This window comes from Homo sapiens, chromosome 20 (genome assembly GCF_000001405.40).
Source record: "Homo sapiens chromosome 20, GRCh38.p14 Primary Assembly".
In the NCBI taxonomy this organism is placed as follows: domain Eukaryota; kingdom Metazoa; phylum Chordata; class Mammalia; order Primates; family Hominidae; genus Homo; species Homo sapiens.
In genome coordinates this window covers 35,387,974-35,410,871 of record NC_000020.11, presented here as the reverse complement: position 1 = coordinate 35,410,871, position 22,898 = coordinate 35,387,974, and the positions used below count along the sequence as shown (strand labels likewise).

Sequence of the window (22,898 nt, the reverse complement as noted above, 5' to 3'; positions counted from 1 at the left end):
CCTGGTGAAGTGATTGTTTGATTTCAGGCCAGAAATTGATTCAGAAATGAGGACTGCTGGGGAAATGGCAATTAGAATGTTCTGAATTTAGTGGTTTTTTTTTTTTTTTTTTTTTTAATCCTTCCCCTGCCACCCTTTAGGGTTTTGTTTTTTTTTTTTTTTTTTTTGAGGCAGAGTCTTGCTCTGTCGCCGAAGCTGGAGTGCAGTGGTGCCATCTCGGGCTCACTGCAACTTCTGCTCCCGGGTTCAAGCAATTCTCCTGTGCCAGCCTCCCGAGTAGCTGGGATGACAGGCATGCACCACACCACACCTGACTAATTTTTGTATTTTTTTTTTTTTTGAGATGGAGTCTCGCTCTGTCACCCAGGGTGGAGTTCAGCGGTGTGATCTCGGCTCACTGCAACCTCTGCCTCCTGGGTTCAAGCAGTTCTCCTGCTTCAGCCTCCCAAGTAGCTGGGATTACAGGCGCCTGCCACCACACCTGGCTAACTTTTGTATTTTTAGTAGAGATGGAGTTTCACCATGTTGGCCAGACTGGTCTCGAACTCCTGACCTCATGATCCGCCTCCTGCGGCCTCCCAAAGTGCTGGGATAACAGGCATGAGCCACCGAGCCTGGCCTGACAACTATCATTTTATAGGGCACTTACTACGTGCTAAGCACTTTAAAATACTTACCTAATCCTTATAACATCCCTTTGGAAAGGAGGGCGTGTTATTTCCTCTATTTTACAGATAAGAAAACTGAACCACAGAGAGGTATTCCTGGCCAGGTGCCGTGGCTCACACCTGTAATCCCAGCACATTGGGAGGCTGAGGTAGGTGGATCACTTGAGGCCAGGAGTTCAAGACCAGCCTGGCCAACGTGGTGAAACCCTGTCTCTACTAAAAATACAAAAATTAGCCAGGCCTGGTGGTGGGCGCCTGTAATCCCAGCTACTCGTGAGGCTGAGACACGAGAATTGCTTCAACCCAGGAGGCGGAGGTTGCAGTGAGCTGAGATTGTGCCACTGCAGTCCAGCCTGGGTGAAAGAGTGAAACTCTGTCTGAAAAAAAAAAAGAAGTATTCCTGAAACATTCTTGTTAGTCTTGCTTTATTTTTTCCTCTTTTTGTCTTGTCAGCCAATATTTTCCCTTCTCCAGTGATGGTTTTGGGAAGGAGGAGGAAACTAAAACACTGCTATTGTTGAATGACTACAGCAGAGAGCCTGGACATTTGATCAGTGGAACTGGACATGCTTATGGTTTTTATGAGTTGTCCTGGGCATTGCTGATCATTTCTGCTTTTCTTTGGAAATAGTAAAAATTGCAGAAAGCCACCCTGTACTTTAGAAAATTAAAAAAAAGTTGTGGTAAAATACATGTAACAAAATTTACCTTTTAAACTTTTTTTTTTTTTTCTGAGACGGAGTTTTGCTCTTGTTGCGCAAGCTGGAGTGCAATGGCGTGATCTTGGCTCACTGCAACCTCTGCCTCCCGGGTTCAAGCGATTCTCCTGCCTCAGCCTCCTGAGTAGCTGGGATTACAGGCACGTGCCACTACGTTCAGCTAATTTTTTGTATTTTTAGTAGAAATGGGGTTTCACCATTTTAGCCAGGCTGATCTTGAATTCCTGACCTCAGGTGATCTGCCCGCCTTGGCCTCCCAAAGTGCTGGGATTACAGGCATGAGCCACTGTGCTTGGCCACCTTTGAAACTTTTTAAGTGTACAGTTCTGTGGTATTGAGTGCATTTACATTGTTGTGCCATCTTTACCACCCTTATCCACAGAATTATTTTCATTTTATAAAACTGAAACTCTGAACCTATTAATAACTCTCTATAGTCTTTTCTCCCCAGCCCCTGGCAGCCACCATTCTACTTTCTGTCTCCGTGAGTTTAACTACTTTGTGTACCTCATATAAGTGGAATCATACAGTATTTGACCTTTTGTGACTGGCTTATTTCATTTAGCGTAATGTCCTCAAGATTCATCCATGTTGTAGCATGTGTCAGAATTTTCTCTTTTTTTTTTTTTGGAGATAGGGTCTCGCTCTGTCATGCGTGCTGAAGTGTAGTGGCTCAATCATAGCTCACTGCAGCCTTGACCTCCTGGGCTCAAGTGATCCTCCCACTTCAGCCTCCTGAGTAGCTGGGACCACAGGCATGTGCCACCACGCCTGGCTACTTTTTTTTTTCTTTTTTGTAGAGATGGGGTCTCCTTATGTTGCCCAGGCTGGCCTTGAACTCCTGGGCTCAAGCAATCCATTGTCTCGGTCTCCCAAAGTGCTGGGACTACAGGCGTGAGCCACTATGTCCAGCCTGTTTAATTTGTTGAGGAATTGTCCTACTGTTTTCCACAGCAGATACACTGTTTTACATTCTCACTAGCAGTGCACAAGGGTTCCAGTTTCACCACATCCTTGCCAACACTTGTTATTTTCTGGTTTTTGTTTGTTTGTTTTTGAGACAAGGTCTTGCTGTGTCATGCAGGCTGGAGTGCAGTGGCCCAATGACAGCTTACTGCAGCCTCCACTTCTGGGCTCAAGTAATCCTCTCATCTTAGCCTCCCGAGTAGCTGGGACTACAGGTGTGTGCCAACACACCCAGCTAGTTTTTAAATTTTTAGTAGAGAGGAGTTCTTGCTATGTTGCCCAGGCTGGTCTCAAATTCCTGAGTTTAAGTGATACTCCTGCCTCAGCCTCTCGAAGTGTTAGGATTACAGGTGTGAACCACCACACGTGGCCTTATATTCTGTTTTTTGACAATTGCCATTCTAATGAGTATGAAATGGTGTCTCATTGTATTATTGATTTACATTTCTCTAGTGACTAGTGATATTGGGCACTTCTTCATGTCTTTTTTCTTTTTGAGACAGAGTTTCACGCGTGTTGCCCAGGCTGGAGTGCAATGGCATGATCTCGGCTCACCGCAACCTCTGCCTCCTGAGTTCAAGTGATTCTCCCGCCTCAGCCTCCCAAGTAGCTGGGATTAGAGACCTGCACCACCACACCTGGCTAATTTTGTATTTTTAGTAGAGATGGGGTTTCCCCATGTTGGTCAGGATGGTCTCAAACTCCCAACCTCAGGTGATCCGCCTGCCTCGGCCTCCCAAAATCCTGGGATTACAGGCGTGAGCCACCACGCCCAGCCTTAAATTTTGTATTTTTAGTAGAGATGGGGTTTTGCTATGTTGGCCAGGCGGGTCTTGAACTCCTGACCTCAGGTGATCCACCCGCCTTGGCCTCCCGAAGTGCAAGGATTACAGGCATGAGCCACTGCATCTGGCAAGTTTTTCATATATTTTGAATATCAATCCCTCATCAGATATATGATTTGCATGTATTTTTCCTATCCTATGGGTTGCTGTTTCAGTCTGTTGATACTATTCTTTGATACACAAAAGTTTTAAATTTTCATGAAGTCCAACTTATTTTTTTTTCTTTTATTGCCCACTCTTTTTTTTTTGACAGGGTCTTGCACTGTCACCCAGGCTAGAGTGCAGTGGCACAATCTAGACTCACTGCAGCCCCTGCCTCCCAGGTTCAAGCAATTCTCCTGCCTCACCCTCCCAAGTAGCTGGGATTACAGTCATGCACCAGCACACCTGGCTAATTTTTATGTTTTTAATAGAGAGGGGGTTTTCCCATGTTGGCCAGGCTGGTCTCAAACTCCTGGCCTCAAGTGATCCGCCCACCTCAGCCTCCCAGAGTGCTGGGGTTACAGGTGTGAGCCACCATGCCTGGCCTATTGCCTACTTTTTTGATATCATGTCCAAGAAATCATTGCAAAATCCAATGTCATGAAGCCATTCCCGTAAGTTTTCTTTTGAAAGTTGTATCATTTTAGGTCCTACATTTTGGTCTTTTATCCATTTTGAGCTAATTTGTGTACATGTTACAAGCTTTTACTATATTTTATGAGCTGTTTTCTTAGTGGCTGCCCTGGGATTACAATGAACATCTTAATTCATAACAGTCTTGTTTGGATTAATACGAACTTCATTTCAGTAATATGTAAAGACTTTCTTTCTATATAGCTCTGTTCCTTCCCGAACATTGTGTTATTGTCATCTAAATTACATCTTTATGCATTATATGTCTACCAATGTAGATTTATAATTATTTCTTCTTGTAGTTGTCTTTTAAATTAAAAAGAAAAAGAATTACAAACAAAAAATCCATTTGTACTGTATTTTTTATTTACCTAAACAGTTACCTTTACCAGTCTACTTTATTTCTTCATGTAGATTTGAGTTATTCTGTAGTTTCCTTTCATTTCAACCTGAAGGTCTGCCTTATTCTTGCAGGGCAAGTCTACTACTGACAAATTCTTTCCATTTTGTTTATCTGGGAAATCTTCATTTTTTCCTTCACTTTTGAATAATAGTTTTGCTGGATATAGAATTCTTGTTTGAAAATCTTTGTCTTTCCTTGTTTTGACTATTTTATCCCACTGCCTTCTGGCTGCTACAGTTTCTGAGAAGAAATCCACTGTTAATGTTCTTGAGGATACTTTGTATATGATGAGTTTCTTCTCTTGCTCATTTAAAGAATCTTTGTCTCTTGGCAGCTTGCATATGATGTGTCTGTGGCTCTCTTTGTGTTTATCCTATTTGGAGTTAGTAGAGCTTCTTGGATTCCTAAATTACCATTTTCCATTATGTTTGGGATGTTTTCTGCCATTATTTCTTCAAATATTTTTCGGTCCTTTTCTTTCCTTCTGAGACTCTAATTATACATATATTGGTGTGTTTGATGGTGTCCCACAGTCTGAGGCTGTTAAATTTGTTCTTTTTTTTCTTTTTTTGTTTTTGCTTTTCATTTTGAGGCTACTAATTTGTCTTTATTGCTTTTTCTTTCTGTTCCTTGGACTGGATGATCTAAATTGACCTATCTTCAAGACCACTGATTATTTTCTTCTGCCTGTTCAAATCTGCTGTTCAGTCCCTCTAATGAGTTTTTCATTTTAGTTGTTGGACTTTTCAATTCTAGAATTTATTTTGTCTTTAAAAAAATAACTTCTCTTTCTGTTGATATTCTCTTTGGTGCCATCTTGGCTCACTGCAACCTCCACCTCCCGGGTTCAAGCGATTCTCCCGCCTCAGCCTTCTGAGTAGCTGGGATTACAGGTGCCTGCCACCACGCCCGGCTAATTTTTGTATTTTTAGTAGAGATGGGGTTTCACCATGTTGGCCAGGATGGTCTCAAACTCCTGACCTCAGGTGATCCCCCTGCCTTGGCCTCCCAAAGTGCTGGGATTACAGGTGTAAGCCACCGCACCCGGCCACTTTCTTATAGTTCTTTAGACATATTTTCATTTAGATCTTTGAACATATTTGAAATAGTTAAAAATCTCTTTGTCTGCTGCCTGGGTTTTCTTAGAGACAGTTTCTATTGATTGCATTTTTTCCCCCTGTGTATGGGCCATACTTTATTGTTTCTTTGCATGTTTTATAACTTTTTGTTGTTGAAAACTGGACATTTTAAATAATGTGGCCACTCCGGAAATCAGATTGTTTCCCTTCCCAGGGTTTGCTGTTGTATTTTTGTTTAGTGACTTTTCTGAATTGATTCTGTAGTCTGTATTCTTTGTTGTTTGTGGCTACTGAAGTCTCTGCTTAGATAGCTTAGTGGTCAGGTAATGATTAAACAAATTTCTTTAAATTTCTGTTAAATTTCTTAAAATTCTGTTCTCACTGCCTGGAAGCAGTGAGTATCCCAGTTTTTGCTTTGGGGCTCTGTGTGCACGTTGGGATGTACCTATAACACTCTGCCAGGCATTCGATAACTCTGCCTTAACTTTCACTTCCTGCTATGCAGAACCTCAAGGTCAACCACAAGTAAGAGACATTCTTAGGTCTTTCCTGAGCATGTGCACAGCTTTGGGTATATGCACAGACCTGGGTATGTTCATGGCTTCCTAGATGCCCAGGAATATATTGGGGCTTTTCTAAGCCTCTGTGGACATCTTATTCCCCAGCTTTTCCTTTAAACCTTTTTGGTTAGCCTGTTGTTTTCTCCACCTGTTAATCACTGCCTCAGGAAGCCATGAAGTCAAACAGTTACCTCTATTTGTTTTCAACCGGTGCTCCTGGGGAAAAGGTTTTTTCACACTGGGTGAGTTCTAAGACAGCCTTGAAATAGGGCCTTCTAAGGAACTGTCAGACAGGTTGAATAATGCCAGTTCTTTTTTTTTTTTTTTTTCAGAGTCAAGCTTCTTTTTTTTTTATACTTTAAGTTCTAGGGTACATGTGCACAACGTGCAGGTTTGTTACATATGTATACATGTGCCATGATGGTGTGCTGCACCCATTAACTCATCATTTACATTAGGTATATCTCTTTTTTTTTTGAGATGGAGTCTTGCTTTGTCACCCAGGCTGGAGTGCACTGGCGCAATCTCAGCTCACTGCAAGCTCCACCTCCCGGGTTCACGCCATTCTCCTGCCTCAGCCTCCCGAGTAGCTGGGACTACAGGCGCCTGCCACCATGCCCGGCTAATTTTGTTTTTTTTTTTTTTTTGAGACGGAGTCTCGCTCTGTCACCCAGGCTGGAGTGCAGTGGTGCAATCTCGGCTCACTGCAAACTCCGCCTCCTGGGTTCACGCCATTCTCCTGCCTCAGCCTCTCCGAGTAGCTGGGACTACAGGCACCCGCCACCACGCCTGGCTAATTTTTTGTATTTTTAGTAGAGACGGCATTTCACCGTGGTCTCGATCTCCTGACCTCGTGATCCGCCCGCCTCGGCTTCCCAAAGTGCTGGGATTACAAGCGTGAGCCACTGCGCCCGGCCACGCCTGGCTAATTTTTTGTATTTTTAGTAGAGATGGGGTTTCACCATGTTAGCCAGGATGGTCTCGATCTCCTGACCTTGTGATCCGCCCTCCTCGGCCTCCCAAAGTGCTTGGATTACAGGCATGAGCCACCACGCCCGGCCTAGGTATATCTCTTAATGCTATCCCTCCCCGCTCCCCCCACCCCACGACAGGCCCTGGTGTGTGATGTTCCCCTTCCTGTGTCCAAGTGTTCTCATTGTTCAATTCCCACCTCTGAGTGAGAACATGCAGTGTTTGGTTTTCTGTCCTTGTGATAGTTTGCTGAGAATGATGGTTTCCAGCTTCATCCATGTCCCTACAAAGGATATGAACTCATCCTTTTTTATGGCTGCATAGTATTCCATGGTGTATATGTGCCACATTTTCTTAATCCAGTCTATCATTGTTGGGCATTTGGGTTGGTTCCAAGTCTTTGCTATTGTGAATAGTGCCTCAGTAAACATACGTGTGTGTGTGTCTTTATAGCAGCATGATTTATAATCCTTCGGGCATATACCCAGTAATGGGATGTCTGGGAATAATGCCAGTTCTTTGTAAGGCTTTGATGAACATCATCCCCATTCTGGAGTCAACTTGTCTCCTGAGGAGACTAGTTCCTTTAGTGGTTGTTGCTATTTAGAAACCACATCTGGGTGCTACATGTGCTTATTGCTACTGGAGTGTCATCTGCAGGCCCTACCAGGACGTGGGTAGGAAATATATATATGTCTATATATACACATAAACATGCATATATCTTTTTCTTTATATATTAAAAGCCCACACCAGTTATTCTAATCTATTCTAATACCACAGGGTTTGTTCTACTCTTTTGCCTTGCCATATTTGTTAACTCCTTTCTCTGATAGAAACCTGACCCCTCACCCTTAATGTATTTATTGATTTATTCAAATCTTTCCTGTATGTAATCAATCTTTTGAAAGCTCAGATTGAAAACTCCCAAAAAAGTGGGAGGAGGCAGTGTATAGGTAATTTTTTTTTTTTTTTTTGAGACGAAGTCTCGCTCTTGTCCCCTAGGCTGGAGTGCAATGGCGCGATCTCAGGTCACTGCAACCTCCGCCTCCCGGGTTCAAGCAATTCTCCTGCCTCAGCCTCCCAAGTAGCTGGGACTGCAGGTGCATGCCCTCATGCCCAGCTAATTTTTTTGTATTTTAGTAGAGATGGGGTTTCACTGTGTTGCCCAGGCTGGTTGCAAACTCCTGAGCTCAGGCAGTCCGCCTGCCTCGGCCTCCCAAAGTACTGGAGTAATTTTTTGTTATTGTTTGAGATGGGGTCTCACTCTGTCACCCAGGCTGGAGTACAGCAGCATGATCTCTGCCTACTGCAACCTCCGCCTCCCGGGTTCAAGCGATCCTTGTGCCTCAGCCTCCTGAGTAGCTGGGATTACCAGCATGCGCCACCATGCCCGGCTAATTTATATATATTATATATATATATATATTTTGTTTGTTTGTTTGTTTGTTTGTTTGTTTGTTTTTTGAGATGGAGTCTCGCTCTGTCGCCCAGGCTAGAGTGCAGTGGTGCGATCTCAGCTCACTGCAAGCTCCGCCTCCCAGGTTCACGCCATTCTCCTGCCTCAGCCTCCCGAGTAGCTGGGACTACAGGCGCCCACCACCACACCCGGCTAATTTTTTGTATTTTTAGTAGAGACGGGGTTTCACCATGTTAGCCAGGATGGTTTCAATCTCCTGACCTCGTGATCTGCCTGCCTCGGCCTCCCAGAGTGCTGGGATTACAGGCGTAAGCCACCGCGCCCGGCCTATATTATGTATTTTTTAGTACAGACGGGTTTCACTGTGTTGGCCAGGCTGGTCTCGAACTCCTGACCTCAAGTGATCCACCCACCTCAGCCTCACAAAGTGTTGGGATTACAGGCGTGAGCCACTATGCCCGGCCTGTATTCAGTAATTTTTGAAGGAATGGTTAAACATTCTCTTCTTCCCTCTGTGGAAATATCCTTTTGTATTATAGCATGCCACATTGTAACTGGAAGGAAAGTTTGTTACCGTAGTATCTGTTCTTTGGACTCCGGAATTGAGTTAGTATCCATGGCATTTGGAATATAGGCACCAGTGGTGACTTATAAAGTGGATTTCGGCTGGGCATGGTGGCTCATGCCTGTAATCCCAGCACTTTGGGAGGCTGAGGCTGAGGGATCACCTGAGGTTGGGAGTTCGAGACCAGCCTGACCAACATGGAGAAACCCCGTCTCTACTAAAAATACAAAATTAGCTGGGCGTGGTGGCGCATACCTGTAATCCCAGCTGCTCGGGAGGCTGAGGCAGGAGAATCACTTGAACCCAGGAGGCAGAGGTTGCGGTGAGCTGAGATTGCGTCATTGCACTCCAGTCTGGGCAACAAGAGTGAAACTCTGTCTCAAAAAAAAAAAAAAAAAAAAGGTGGATTTCATGTTTATAATTGATTTTCGTTATTCACAGATTCTATATTTGTGAACTCACCTAGTTGCTAAAATTTATTTGAAACCCCAAAATCAATACTTGCAGCACTTTTGTAGTCACTTGTGGACATTTGCAGAGGGGTAAGAAATTTGAGCTGCCAATGTGTGTGTTCCTGGCTGAGATGGGTCAACATTCCGCCTTCTTGTTTCAGTTTTCATACTGTAACAAGTATTCTTTTCATGGCCTGTTTAGTGCCATATTTTTCGTATTTTTGTGCTTTTGTTGGTGAATCCCATCTTTAAAATGTCACCCAAGTGTAGTATGGAAACGCTATCTAGCATTGCTGAGTGCGAGAAGGCCACAATGTGCCTTATGGGAAAATATGTTTGTTAGGTAAATTTTGCTAAGTGAGTTATAGTGCTGTTGGCTGTGAGTTCCGTGTTAATGAATCAACAATGTATATTAAATAGGGTGTCTTTCAACAGAAACCAATAAAACAAGGTTATATATTGATTGGTTGATGAATGTTGTGACCAGAGGCTTCCAGGAACCTAAGTCTGGCATTTCCTTTAGAAGCAATGGTTCAGTATTTGCTAACTCAGTGTTTGTGGTGATTTTATGGTGAATAACTAGAATCCGCTACACCTGTAAATTGTTTTCTAGCTCATGAATGAGCCAAGGAAAATACTATGTATCTTAAAAAACCACATGCAGAAACAGGCCTGTCAGTGGACTGATTAAAGGGTAGTCAGTACAAGAGGTGGTATGTCAGAATGTTTTGAAATACTGATGTAAAAATCACTGCAATTAACAATGTGCACGGGAAACGAAAACATGAAGCCTATCTTAAAAATTTTGGTTTTGGCCAGGCATGGTGGCTCACACCTGTAATCCCAGCACTTTGGGAGGCCGAGGCGGGCGGATCACAAGGTCAGGAGATCAAGACCATCCTGGCGAACATGGTGAAACCCCATCTCTACTAAAAATACAAAAAATTAGCCAGGCGAGGTGGCGGGCGCCTGTAGTCCCAGCTACTTGGGAGGCTGAGGCAGGAGAATGGCGTGAACCTGGGAGGCGGAGCTTGCAGTGAGCTGAGATCCCACCACTGCACTCCAGCCTGGGCAACGGAGCGAGACTCCGTCTCAAAAAAAAAAAAAAGAAAAAAATTTTTTTTTTGGTTTTGAAGTGTTGGAAAGGCAAAATGGCAATAAAACTAGTTCTCACTTAGTAACAGTGCATTTATCTTAAGTTAAAGGAATAATTTTTGCCATTGGGAGTGGCTATGAATGTCTTTTGAACTTGGGAGAAGTTGAGATGTGCTAATTGTTATAGGCCTAATATATTAGTACCTTAAGAGAGAGATAAGTACTTCCACAGATTTATATTTATAGATGAAGTGGTGGAAGAGGTGGAAAGGAAAAAGGACGAGTAGAGGTCGACACGGTGGCTCATGCCTGTAATCCCAGCACTTTGGGAAGCCGAGGCCGGTGGATCACCTGAGATCAGGAGTTTGAGACCAGCCTGGCCAACATGGTGAAACCCCGCCTCTACCGAAAATACAAAAATTAGCTGGGCGTGGTAGCGCGCCGCTCTAGTCCCAGCTACTCGGCAGGCTGAGGCAGGAGAATTGCTTGAATCCAGGAGGTGAAGGTTGCGGTGAGCCGAGATTGCGCCACTGCACTCCAGCCTGGGTGACAGAGTAAGACTCCATCTCAAAAAAAAAAAAAAAAAAGGACTGAGTAGAGCCAGTAGAACCAGAAGCTGACATCTAGACAGATTTCTTTTCTTTTTTTTTTTTTTTGAGTGGAGTCTTGCTCTGTCACGCAGGCTGGAGTGCAGTGGCCTGATTTTGGCTCACTGTAATCTCTGTCTCCCCAGTTCAAGCGATTCTCCATGCCTCAGCCTCCCGAGTAGCTGGGATTACAGGCACCTGCCACCACGCCCGGCTAATTTTTGTATTTTTAGTAGAGATGGGGTTTTGCCATGTTGGCCAGGCTGGTCTCGAACTCCTGACCTCAGGTGATCTGCCCGCCTATGGTCTCCCAAAGTGCTGGGATTACAGATGTGAGCCACTGCGCCCGGCCTAGAGAGATTTCTTGAAGCAATTGAGCTTATAGTTTGGGTTGGAGTGAAGAGGAGAGTCCCAAAAAATTACTACAAGGAAATTAGCATGTGTGGAGTGAAGCAGTGATTCCCAAACCAGAGAATCTGAGTCAGGTGTTGAAACTGTTGAGTGGAAAACACAGTAAGTATTATGAGTTTAGAGGGGTCCAGTTGGTAAAGACCAGTAAGGACCAGGTGTTTAAGTTTCAATAAAGAGGTCCTTGGAAACCACTGCAAGCTTTTGAGAAAGGGAATAAATGCCAGATTCCAAACAATATTTTAAGAAAACAGTTTTTGCTTCTCTGGCAGTTTGCTGGGGAAAGCAGGGCTTGTATAATTCGGTAACAGTTGTTCATAACAGTGATGCCTTTAGTTGTGTTTTTCTGTTATCAAAGTGCTTTTAGGAATGTTCCTGGGAACACTCCTGTGAGATAGCTTTTATTATTCCCATTTTTCATAAGGGAAAATGGAGGCCCAGATTGTTGAGTAACCAGTTCACAGCTATTTGATGGCAGACTTGGGATTACCCTTTCTGTTACACTTCAGTGGTTTCAATTAAGGATTTGGACAAGAATTGTTGTAGGATTGGCGAAGGAAAGAACAGCTGATTGTTCCTTTCTTCTAATAAGAACTGATTTAAAAGTATTGGCCTAAGACCAACCGGAGCCAAAATTACAGAGAAAAGTTTTGTTGACATTGGAAATTACATGATGAAATTCTTCAGAAAATCTTCCAAAAGTTTGCATTGTTTCAACTTGTAATTTCCTCTTGCTCCCCCTGCACCGCCCCCCCCCCCCCCCCACCTTTGGCCCTGAATCTGAAGCAGTTTCCTCTTATCCCATAGTTAACATTTTTAGTACAGGAACATCTGACATTGAATGTTTCTGGTAAATCTGTCAGTGTTTGTAAAACAAAACACCAGTAACTGTCTCTCACTTGGAAAACCATTTCAACTGATCCAACCACAGCTCAAATAAAATATTTTTAGCTCCACTTTTCATTTGAAATTTAAGGTGCTGTAAGTGGCAATTATACAATTTTAGAACTGTGAGACACTTTAGAAAGCATCTGTAGGTTTAAAAATTTAATGCCTTTCTCCACCCCACCTCAACCTGTTTCTACTCGAGGAAATGGAGATTCAGATTCAACTTAATATTGTGCTGAACATACTGCAAGGTACATTTGTTAATTTTAAAGAAAATCCTGAGAAGTGGGGATTTTGTCTTTATTTTTGATAAAAAGAGACAACCAAGGCTCACAGAGGTGATTATCTAATATGTAGCTTCTGAACAGTACTTCCTGCCTTTAGTTATGTGGCACTTTCCACAATATGCTGTTTTAATTGGTTCCAGACCAGGTCATATAGTGTTAGAGCTAGAAGGTACCTTGCAGATACTCTACCCTTTCATCCCATAAATGAGCAAGGATTCTAGAGTTGGGTTGTCTGGGTTCATATCTTAATCCTGCTGTTAGAACTATGTGACATTGGGAGGTTGCTTATCCTCTCCATGCCTCAGTTTCCTTTTTTGTGTAAATGGGATAATGATATACCTACATGAGTGGTGATTGTGAAGTTTAAATGAGTTCATATATGTAAAGTACCAGAAAAGTGCCTGCCATCAAATGCTCATTAAGTGTTCCTCATAATTGCTATCAGGAAACTGAATGTCACAGAGGTTAAATTACTTGTAAAGATAATGTTAGAGTAGCTGAATTTAAACTAGAATCTTTGACTCCTAGTACAATTGTCCCCAAGTATCCCTGGTCCTTTGGTTCCAGGACCTCCCTCGGATAGCAAAATCCGTGGATGCTCAAGTCCTTGATACAAAGTGGCATAGTATTTGCATATAACCTATATATATTCCCCCATGTACTTTAAATAATCTCTAGATTACTTACATTTAATACAATATAGGTGCTATGTAAATAGTTGTTATACTGTATTATTTAGGGAGTAGTGACGAGAAAAAAAAAGTCTACATGTTTAGTATGGCATGTTTTTTTCCTGATTTTTTTTTCTTTTTTCTTTTTTTTTTTTTTTGAGACAGTCTCGCTCTGTCACCCAGGCTGGAGTGCAGTGGCGTGATCTTGGCTCACTGCCAGCTCCGCCTCCCGGGTTCATGCCATTCTCCTACCTCAGCCTCCTGAGTAGCTGGGATTACAGGCGCCCACCACCACGCCTGGCTAATTTTTTTGTATTTTTAGTAGAGAAGGGGTTTCACTGTGTTAGCCACGATGGTCTCGATCTCCTGACCTCGTGATCCGCCAGCCTCGGCCTCCCAAAGTGCTGGGATTACAGATGTGAGCTACCGCGCCCGGCCTGATTTTTCTTTTTTTTTTTTTCTTTTTTTTTTGAGACAGAGTCTCCCTCTCTATCGCCCAGGCTGGAGTGCAGTGGCACAATCTCTGCTCACTTGCAACCTTTGCCTCCTGGGTTCAAGTGATTCTCGTGCCTCAGCCTCCAGAGTAGCTGGGACTACAGGTACACGCCACCATGCCCGGTATTTTTTTCCTGAATATTTTAATCTGTGGGTGGCTGAATCCATGGATGCAGAACCCATGGCTGTGGAGGGCTGACTGTGTTATACATTATGCTTGGCAAAGGATTTTCAAGCAATTTATGTATCTGGTCCTCATTATGGCCCTATAAGGTCTACAGGTCAAGTGAAGAAAACCCTCAGATCCCTAGAGTTGGTTCCTAAAATTAAGATTTCCAGTGCTGTGTACATGGCTATCATTTATACAGTGGAATGTATTTCAGGTTCATAAAATAAAGCAGACTTCTTATTTAGCAAGAGAGAGCTATCCCTTTCTCCAGCCTAGCCTCTCACTTTGGCCAAGAGACCTTTCTGAAGTGAGCTTCATGTTAGAGGGAAAACGTGAATCTCAGTTTTAGCTTGAACAGCCATTTAATCTCTCTTGTCTTGGAAATCAAGTTGCCCACGTGTGTTTTCCCACTGCAAAACTTCTACCCTAGTTTCCTCCTCCTTTTGGGGATGATGATGATCTCAGCATTGCTTACTATAAAGGGATTCTATGAAGATCAGGTAAGTAAGTCAGTGTTTATGAAAACACATTGTAAGCCAGGCACAGCTATGCAAGCCTTTAGTCCCAGCTACTTGGGAGGCTGAGGTGGGAGGATCACTTGAGCCCAGGCATCAGGCATTTGAGGCTGTAGTGTGCAATGTTAGCACCATGACTAGGCACTGGACTCCAGCCTGGGGAATGTAGTGAGACCCTGTCTCTTAAAAAAAAAAAAAAAAAAAAAAAGGCCAGGCACAGTGGCTCACATCTGTAATCCCAGCATTTTGGGAGTCCGAGGTAGGTAGATCACTTAAGGTCAGCAGTTTAAGACCAGCCTGGTCAACATGGTGAAACCCTGTCTCTACTAAAAATACAGAAATTAGCCCTATGTGGTGGCTCATGCCTGTAGTCCCAGCCACTTGGGAGTCTGAGGCGTAAGAATCGCTTGAACCCAGGAGGTGGAAATTGCAATGAGCTGGGATCATGGCCCTGCATTCCAGCCTGGGTGACAGAGCGAGACTCAGCCTCAAAAAAAAAAAAAAAAAAAAAAGACATTGCAAACCGTAATTTGAATTATAATCTAATCATAAAATGCCAGAAGTCTGCTTATTTTGTTTCTCTTCCCAGAGGGAGCCCGTGCCCACTGCTTGAGTCACCTATTACCAGAATTATTTTAGTCTGTGGAATCAGTAGTAGGCAGTGGTTTATCTTATCCTTGGAGAAATGAGCATGTGGAGGCTTGGTCTTGGTCCCATTTTGGAAGTTCTTCATTCATGTGATACCCCATTCTGGCAGGATTTTTAAACTTAGGTACTAAAGGCCAGATCTGGAATGGTCCTGAGTGTAGTTGCTTCTGTCCCTGTGGAATTAGAGTGTGCCACCCTCCTGGCCTGTGGCTGCAACCCAGATATGATATTGTGAGAGAAGAAATATATATTTGGTCTTTATCCCTGGTTCCTGGCACAGAGCTCTTGAAACCCTTGCAGAGTGATTGGGGTGAGAGGAATGGTTTTTTTTTTATTTATTTATAATAAGCCCCTTTCAACCATACATGAGTTTATGGGTTTTTTTTTGTATAGCTGGGGGTCTCGCTTTGTTGCCCAGGCTGGTTTCGACCTCCTGGCTTCAAGTAATCCTGCTTCAGCCTCTCAAAAGTGCTGAGATAATAGGAGTGAAGGCATGAGCTGCTATGACCGGCAGTGAGTTTATGTTAATAAGGTGACTCTTGGAGGGTAGAGGCTGGTTGCTAGAGGAACAAATATGTGTGTAGAAGGTTGGAACTTGTAGCTTCTCCCACTCCTCCCTGACTTTTGGAAGGGGAGAGGGGCTGGAGATTGAGCTGATCACCAGTGATCAGTGATAATCAATCATGTCTACGTAATGAAGCCTCCATAGAAATCCCTGGGTTTGGAGAGCTTCTAGGTTAGTAAACACATCAAAGTGTAGGGAGGGTGGCACACCCGGAGAGCAAGCTCCCACCCCGTACCCTGTCTTTTGCATCGCTTCCATTTGGCTGTTCCTGAGGTGTATCCCTTATAATAAACTGATAAAAGTAAGTGAAGTGCCTCCCCGAGTTGAGCCATGCTAGCAAATTATTGAATCTGAGGAGGCAGCTGTGGGAACCCCCAATGTATGGACAAGTTGGACAAAAGTGTGAGTAACCTGGGGACCCACTACTTGTGATGGGAGTCTGAAGTGGGGGACAGTCCTGTTGGATGGTGCTGTGAGGTCTCTGCTAACTCCAGGCAGTTAGTTTAAGAATTAAGTTAAATTGTAGGACACCCAGTTGGTGTCTGCAGAGAACTAGAGAATTGCTTGGTATGGAGACCCCTTGCCCCTGCACATTTGGTATCAGAAGTGGAGTGTTGAGTATAGAAAAAAGAGTTTTTCATCTTTACCGGAAGTTCTCTGAACTCTGTCATTTAGAATTTTTGTGGAGGCTTATTGTTGGCATGATTGATTAAATCACTGGGTACCAGTGATTGGCTCAGTCTCTAATCCCTCTCCTCTCCTGGAGGTGGGGATGCCTTGAGGAGTTGGGGCTGAGTTCCAACCCTCTACTCCTGTGGTAGGTTTCTCTGGCAACCAGCCTCCATCCTGCATGAATCACCTCATTAGCATAAACTCAGGTATGGTTGAAAGGGGCTTATTATGAGTTACAGACACCCCCCTCACTCAGAAATTCCAAGGGTTTTAGGAGCTCTGTGCCAGGAACTAGAGATGAAGGCCAAATATATATTTCTAATTATATTACAGTATCACAGGTACACTCTTTGCCTTCCATGTAGGGAGTATGATTTAGATTCCTGACAGATTATTATTTTCTTTCTTTAGAGGAACCAGACTAGCATTTCTCAGTGGGTTCCAGTATGCAGCCGATTGATACCTGTGTCTCCTACCCAAGGACAGGGGGACAGGGCTCTGTCTCGCACTTCCCAGGTAAGATTTGTTGTTCTTTTGCTTAGTATGAAAACCTTAGTGTTTATGTGCAAATGTCATGTATTTATAGATTAGCCAACCAAATTGTGTGATGGAAAAACCTCATGAGACCACTCTGGGTCTCTGTGGTGCCAACTTAGGACTGATTCCTAAAGTATGGTGTCTAGGGCGTTGCTTCTAAATACCCTAGCAGTGGAACTTAGCCTAGGATACCATGCTACAGTCTGATGATTTTTACTGTTAGGGAATTTTTCCAGATATTCATCTCCGAGTTAACCTTTTTCAATTTTCTTTTTGTGGCCATCTTGTGCTACTTTTATTTGGGCGTGATAATTATTTCTTTTTCCTTTATATGAATATAAAATCCAAGAAACAATTATTTGAGGTATTCATTTACCATTGACCACCTAATCATTATAATGTAGTTTACCTTGGACCTTGTGTCCCTCCTGATTTTTGTTAATAATACAAATAATTTAGTAATAAGGGAAATAAATCATCTATGACTTCAAATCTGAAAACGTCAGTATTTTATCTCTGCTGGTTCTTTTTCAGCCTGTGTGTGTGTGTGTGTGTGTGTGTGTGTGTTTGTGTGTGTTTGTGTGTGTGTGTGTGTGTATGTATATGTAATGTTATTCCTGAAGTACCCTAACAAATGTCCACAGAAGTTTATATTCTGGTACCTTTTCACTTATTAGAGTGGACATTATTCATATTGTTTTGATAGACTTTGTAATTAAAAATTTAATGACCATATAATATTTTATTTACTTAGCCTTTGATATGAAAATCATTTCCTTTTTTTTGCCATTATAAGCTTTAATTTTCTTACCATTGTCTTAGCACATATTTTTTCTTACTTTTAATTACTTATTAATAATTCCTAGGAAGGCATACCTTGGGTCAGAGTATGAACAGTTTGCCTCTTCAAAAGGTTGTTTTAATTTATGCTGCCACCAGCAATGTATGTATAAGTAGTTTTTCATTATTACCTCTCTCAAGTTGAGTTTTTTTTAACTTAAATAAATTGGGTAAGAAATGTTACCTTGTTTTACCTTGTATTTCTTTGTTTAGCTCTCAGGGTTATGTATTTTTTCTGTATTGATCAGTTGTTTTTCAGTTTGTGAAAATTGTATGCTTATGGCATTTCTCCATTCATCTATTGGGAACTCATTTTTCTTACCAATTTATGATTTTTATCTGTAGTCATTAACTTTCTTTTTCGTATTCGATGCAATTAAAAATATGTTTGCTATATGTAATTATATATATTATATAATTTATGTAACATATATAATCTACTTAAAAATTCCCTCCAATTAATGTGTAAGCCCTGCCCTTCTGAGGACATCTTGCTTTTTTCTTGTATTTCCTGGTCTTTTCACTATGCCTGGCACAGAGTAGTCACTAAGTATATGTTGAATGAATGGAGAATATGCCTGTGCAGAAGAGGCGTCTACTTTGGGTAGTTATGCAGGTATTTCTTTTCAGAGCTTGGGCTGTGTTCTGTTACTTTTTGTACAAATTTTTAATAGTATTTGTTATTTGTATGTGTGTAGATGGTAGGGGAAAATAACTCATTATATGAATCTCTGACTTGTGCCCTACTCTTTGGGTCAGTAAACGTTTCTTGAGCACCTAATAAGTACCGGGTACTGTATTAGGCTCTGGGACAACATTATAGCAAAGCATTTATGTAAATAACTGAGGGTGGTTTATCTCATGCTGACCAGATGTAATTTTAGTCATTGTAAATCAACTGGACCTTTTGTCGTATCGACTGTAACTTACTGGAGTATCTTCCTATCTTTGAGGTCCCCTGGTTGGAAACTTCTGCTTCAGAATGGCATCCTCAGGTACATGTCTCACAGGGAGGAAGATTTGGCTCAGAATGAGAAAGAGTTTTGTTAATTAGAATTGTGCATAATGGGATGTGTGAGCTGCGTTTTCACATAGTAAATTTACTCTTACTGGAAATATTCAGGCAGTGGTAGGATGAATGTATGTCAAGGGCCTGACATAAAGGAATCCTTCCTTCGATGAGTGGTAGTATCAGGTATCTGTAAGGTAATGTCCAGTGCTGTAATCCTATTATTGTTTTCAAAGAGCTAGAGACATACTTTCAGCTTTGTCTTAATTAGCCTCTTGAAGTTCTGTCTACTTAAAAATATTTTTTAAATTTTGAAATAATTTTAGACTTATGTAAGAGTTGTAAAAGTAGTAGCATTCCCAAATAGCCTTCATCTGGCTTCCCCTAATGTTAACCTCTTACATAACCATGGTGCAATTACTGAAACCAGGAAATTAACATTGAAATAATACTATTAATTAGTCTATTTGTTCCAATTTTGTCAATTTTTTTTTTTATGAATGTCCTTTTTTGATCTGCGATAACAAATCCAGTTGTCATATATTCTTAGTCGTCTCCAATCTGTTAAATTTTCATTTTTTTTTTTTTAAGACAGAGTCCCACTCTGTCGTCCAGGGTGGATGACACTATCTTGGCAGTGGCACTATCTTGCTCACTGCAACCTCCACCTCCTGGGTTCAAGCGATCCTCCCACCTCAGCCTCCCAAGTAGCTGGGATTACAAGTATGTGCCATGACACCTGGCTGATTTTTGTATTTTTAGTAGAGACGGGGTTTCACCATTTGGTGAACAGGCTGGTCTCAAACTCCTGACCTCAAGTGATCCACCCCTGTGGGCCTCCCCAAGTGCTGGGAATATAGGTATGAGCCACTGTGTCTGGTCACATTTTCTTATTCTTTTTCTTCTCAAGATTTAGACACTTTTGAAGAGTACTAGTCAGTTATTTGTAGAATGTTTCTCAATTTGAGTTTGTGTAATATTTTCTTTTCTTTTTTCTTTATTTTCTTTTATTTTTTATTCATTTTTTTGAGACAGAGTCTTGCTCTGTCACCCATGCTAGAGTGCAGTGGTGCGATCTTGGCTCACTGCAACCTCTGCCTCCTGTTCAAGTGATTGTCTTGCCTCAGCCTCCCCAGTAACTGGGATTGCAGGTGCCCGCCACCACACCCAGCTACTTTTTGTATTTTTAGTAGAGAAGGGGTTTTGCCACGTTGGCCAGGCTGGTCTTGAACTCCTGATCCGAGGTGATCCGCCCACCTCGACCTCTCAAAGTGCTGGGATTATAGGTGTGAGCTACCACCTATAATATAGAAAGCCCGGCCTTTCTAATATTTTCTTATAATGAGATTGAGGTTATGCATTTTTGGCAAAAATGATGTTATTCCCTTCTCAGTGCATCATATCAGGGGATACATAATGCTAGTAGGTCTTATAACTTTGGCCACTTGGTTAAATTGGTGTTTGTCAGGTTCCTGAACTCTAAAGTTAGTATTTTCCCTTTGTAATTAGTATCTTGTCAGGAGATACTTGGAGACTGTGCAGATACCCATTTCACATTATACTTTTGCTTACTAATTTTAGCAGTCATTGGTGGTTTTTTTTAATGATATGTTAACATTAAATTTATTGTCATAACCATTATAAGTGTACAGTTCAGTAATGTTAATTTAAGCATATTCACATTGTTTTGCAACAGATCTCTATAAACTTTTTCATCTTGCAAAACTCTATGCTAAACACTAATTCTCTCCCCACCCTGCTTTTCTACTTTCTGTTTCTATGATTTTTTTTTTTTTTTTTGAGACGGAGTTTCACTCTGTCGCCCAGGCTGGAATGCAGTGGTGCAATCTCAGCTCACTGCAACCTCCGCCTCCCAGGTTCAAGCATTTCTGCCTCAGCCTCCTGAGTAGCTGGGATTACAGGTGCTCACCACCACGCCTGGCTAATTTTTGTATTTTTAGTAGAGACGGGGTTTCACTGTGTTGGCCAGGCTGGTCTCAAACTCCTGACCTCGAGTGATCTGCCCGCCTCAGCCTCCCAAAGCACTGGGATTACAGGCATGAGCCATCACCCTGGCCTTGTTTCTGTGATTTTGACTACTTTAGGATACTTCATGTGAGTGGACTCATACAGTTTTTGTTCTTTTATAACTGGCACATGCTTATTTCACTTAGCATAATGTCCTCAAGGTTCATCTATGTTGTAGCACATGACAGGATTTCCTTCTTTTTTTAAGGCTGCGTACTCTTCTATTGTATATTTTCTTTATCCATTTGGATCAATGGACATTTGGGTTCCTTCTGTCTCTTGCACACATTATTGTGAATAATGCTGCAGTGAATGTCAGTGTACAAATATCTTAGAGATCCTGCTTTGAATTCTTTTGGATATATACCCAGAATTAGGATTGATGGATTATATGATAATTGCATTGATGGTTCTTCACTGCAGTGATCATTATTGTGGTGTTTGTCTAATGATTTTTTATTTCCATCATTCCTACATTTATTAACTGGAACTCTGTTGTAAGAAAGAGCTGTCACTTCTTCCCCATTTATTTATTTATTCAATTATTTATTTATACCAGTATGAGCTCATGGATATTTATTTTCTTCTGAGTTATAATTCATTTTCTTTTCTTTTCTTTTCTTTTTTTTTTGAGACGGAGTCTCACTCTCTCACTCAGGCTGGAGTGCAGTGGCGAGATCTTGGCTCACTGCAACCTCCGCCTCCCGGGTTCAAGTGATTCTCCTGCCTCAGCCTCCTGAATAGCTTGATTACAGGTGCGAGCTCACCACGCCCAGCTAATTTTTGTATTTTTAGTAGAGATGGGGTTTCACCGTGTTGGCCAGGATGGCCTTCATCTCCTGACCTTGTGATCTATGCGCCTCGGTCTCCCAAAGAGAGGTGCAAATTATAAGCACCCGGCTTATAATTCATTTTCCAATTAGTTATTTTGTTGATTAGATTGTCCCAGCTTGGGCTATTGGGAACGCCTTTCTACATGCCCCCCATCATTTTTTGAATACTCTCTTAATTGCTGGCACCACAAGATGTTTCAGGTTCATGCTGTATTTTCTTTGCCCTGGCCCTAGATTCAAACATTACTCCAAGGAGTCCTGATTTTATTTTTTTATTTTTTTTATTTTTTATTTTTAGATGGAGTCTCACTCTGTTGCCCAGGTGGGAGTGCAGTGGTGCGATCTTGGCTCACTGCAACCTCCACCTCCCAGGTTCAAGTGACTGTCCTGCCTCAGCCTCCCGAGTAGCTGGGGACTACAGGCGCACACACCACGCCCAGCTAATTTTTATATTTTTTAGTAGAGAAGGGGTTTCACCATGTTGGCCAGGTTAGCCTTGAACTCCTGACCTCAGGTGATCCTCCCGCCTCAGCCTCCCAAAGTATTGGGATTACAGGCATGAGCCACCGCACCCAGCCCCGATTCCTTCTATTGGAGAGCAGTATTTAGAAATCAAGATCTGGGTATTAAGTGTGCATGAGCCTGTGTTGTTGAACTCTACTCAGACTTTTGAAGGCAGCTTGATATAGCGGACAGAACATAGCTTTGAGTATATATCCTAGTCTTTAATGAACTTTACTTCTTTGAGCCTTTGTGTTCTAATTTCTAAAACAGGAAAAAATAGTCCGGGCACAGTGGCTCATGCCTGTAATCTCAGCACTTCTGGAGGCCAAGGTGGGAGGATTGTTTGAGGCCAGGAATTTGAGACCAGCCTGAGTAACATAGCAAGACCCTATCTCTACAAAAAATCCGGAATAGCTGGATCTCTGTGTTCCCAGGTACTCAGGAGGCTGAGGCAGGAGGATCCCTTGAGTCTGGGGGGGTCAAAGTTGCAGTGACCCATGACCACACCACTGTACTCCAGCCTGGGTGACAGAGCAAGACCCTGTCTCAAAAAAAAAGAAAAAAAGAAATAGAAGGGGCAGGTGTGGTGGCTCATGCCTGTAATACCAGCACTTTGGGAGGCTAAGGTGGGCTGATCACTTGAGGTCAGGAGTTTGAGACCAGGGTGGCCAATGTGGTCAAACCCTGTCTCTACTAAAAAAATAAAAAAATTAGCTGGCGTGGTGGCACACGTCTGTAATCCCAGCTATTTGGGAGGCTGAGGCAGGAGAGTTGCTTGAACCCAGGAGGTGGAGGTTGTAGTGAGCCGAGATCATGCCACCGCATTCCAGCCTGGGCACAGCGAGACTCCGTCTCAAAAAAAAAAAAAATAGGAAAATATACT

At 42.4% G+C, this 22,898-nt stretch overlaps 1 protein-coding gene across 8 annotated transcripts in view, besides 1 other annotated feature; it reads left to right on the top strand.

Annotated features, from left to right (window-relative positions):
* Positions 1-22,898, top strand: part of UQCC1 (ubiquinol-cytochrome c reductase complex assembly factor 1) — a 109,396-nt gene that overhangs the window by 1,102 nt on the left and 85,396 nt on the right. For 5 of the 8 annotated variants that reach the window (NM_001184977.2, XM_011528878.3, NM_199487.3 and 2 more), the window contains exon 2: positions 16,676-16,780. In NM_001184977.2, the coding sequence (NP_001171906.1) occupies positions 16,676-16,780 (105 nt within the window). Of the gene's footprint in view, positions 1-579; positions 818-16,675; positions 16,781-18,594; positions 18,637-22,898 lie in introns of those variants that run through there. The other 3 variants (XM_011528877.2, XM_011528881.4, XM_011528880.3) reach the window with 3 other exon arrangements.
* Positions 5,541-5,700: an enhancer, noted in NCBI's record as "active region_17779". NCBI's record gives its function as "activates an Ori minimal core promoter by ATAC-STARR-seq in GM12878 lymphoblastoid cells {active_cell/tissue: GM12878}" and the evidence as "EXISTENCE:reporter gene assay evidence [ECO:0000049][PMID:35858748]".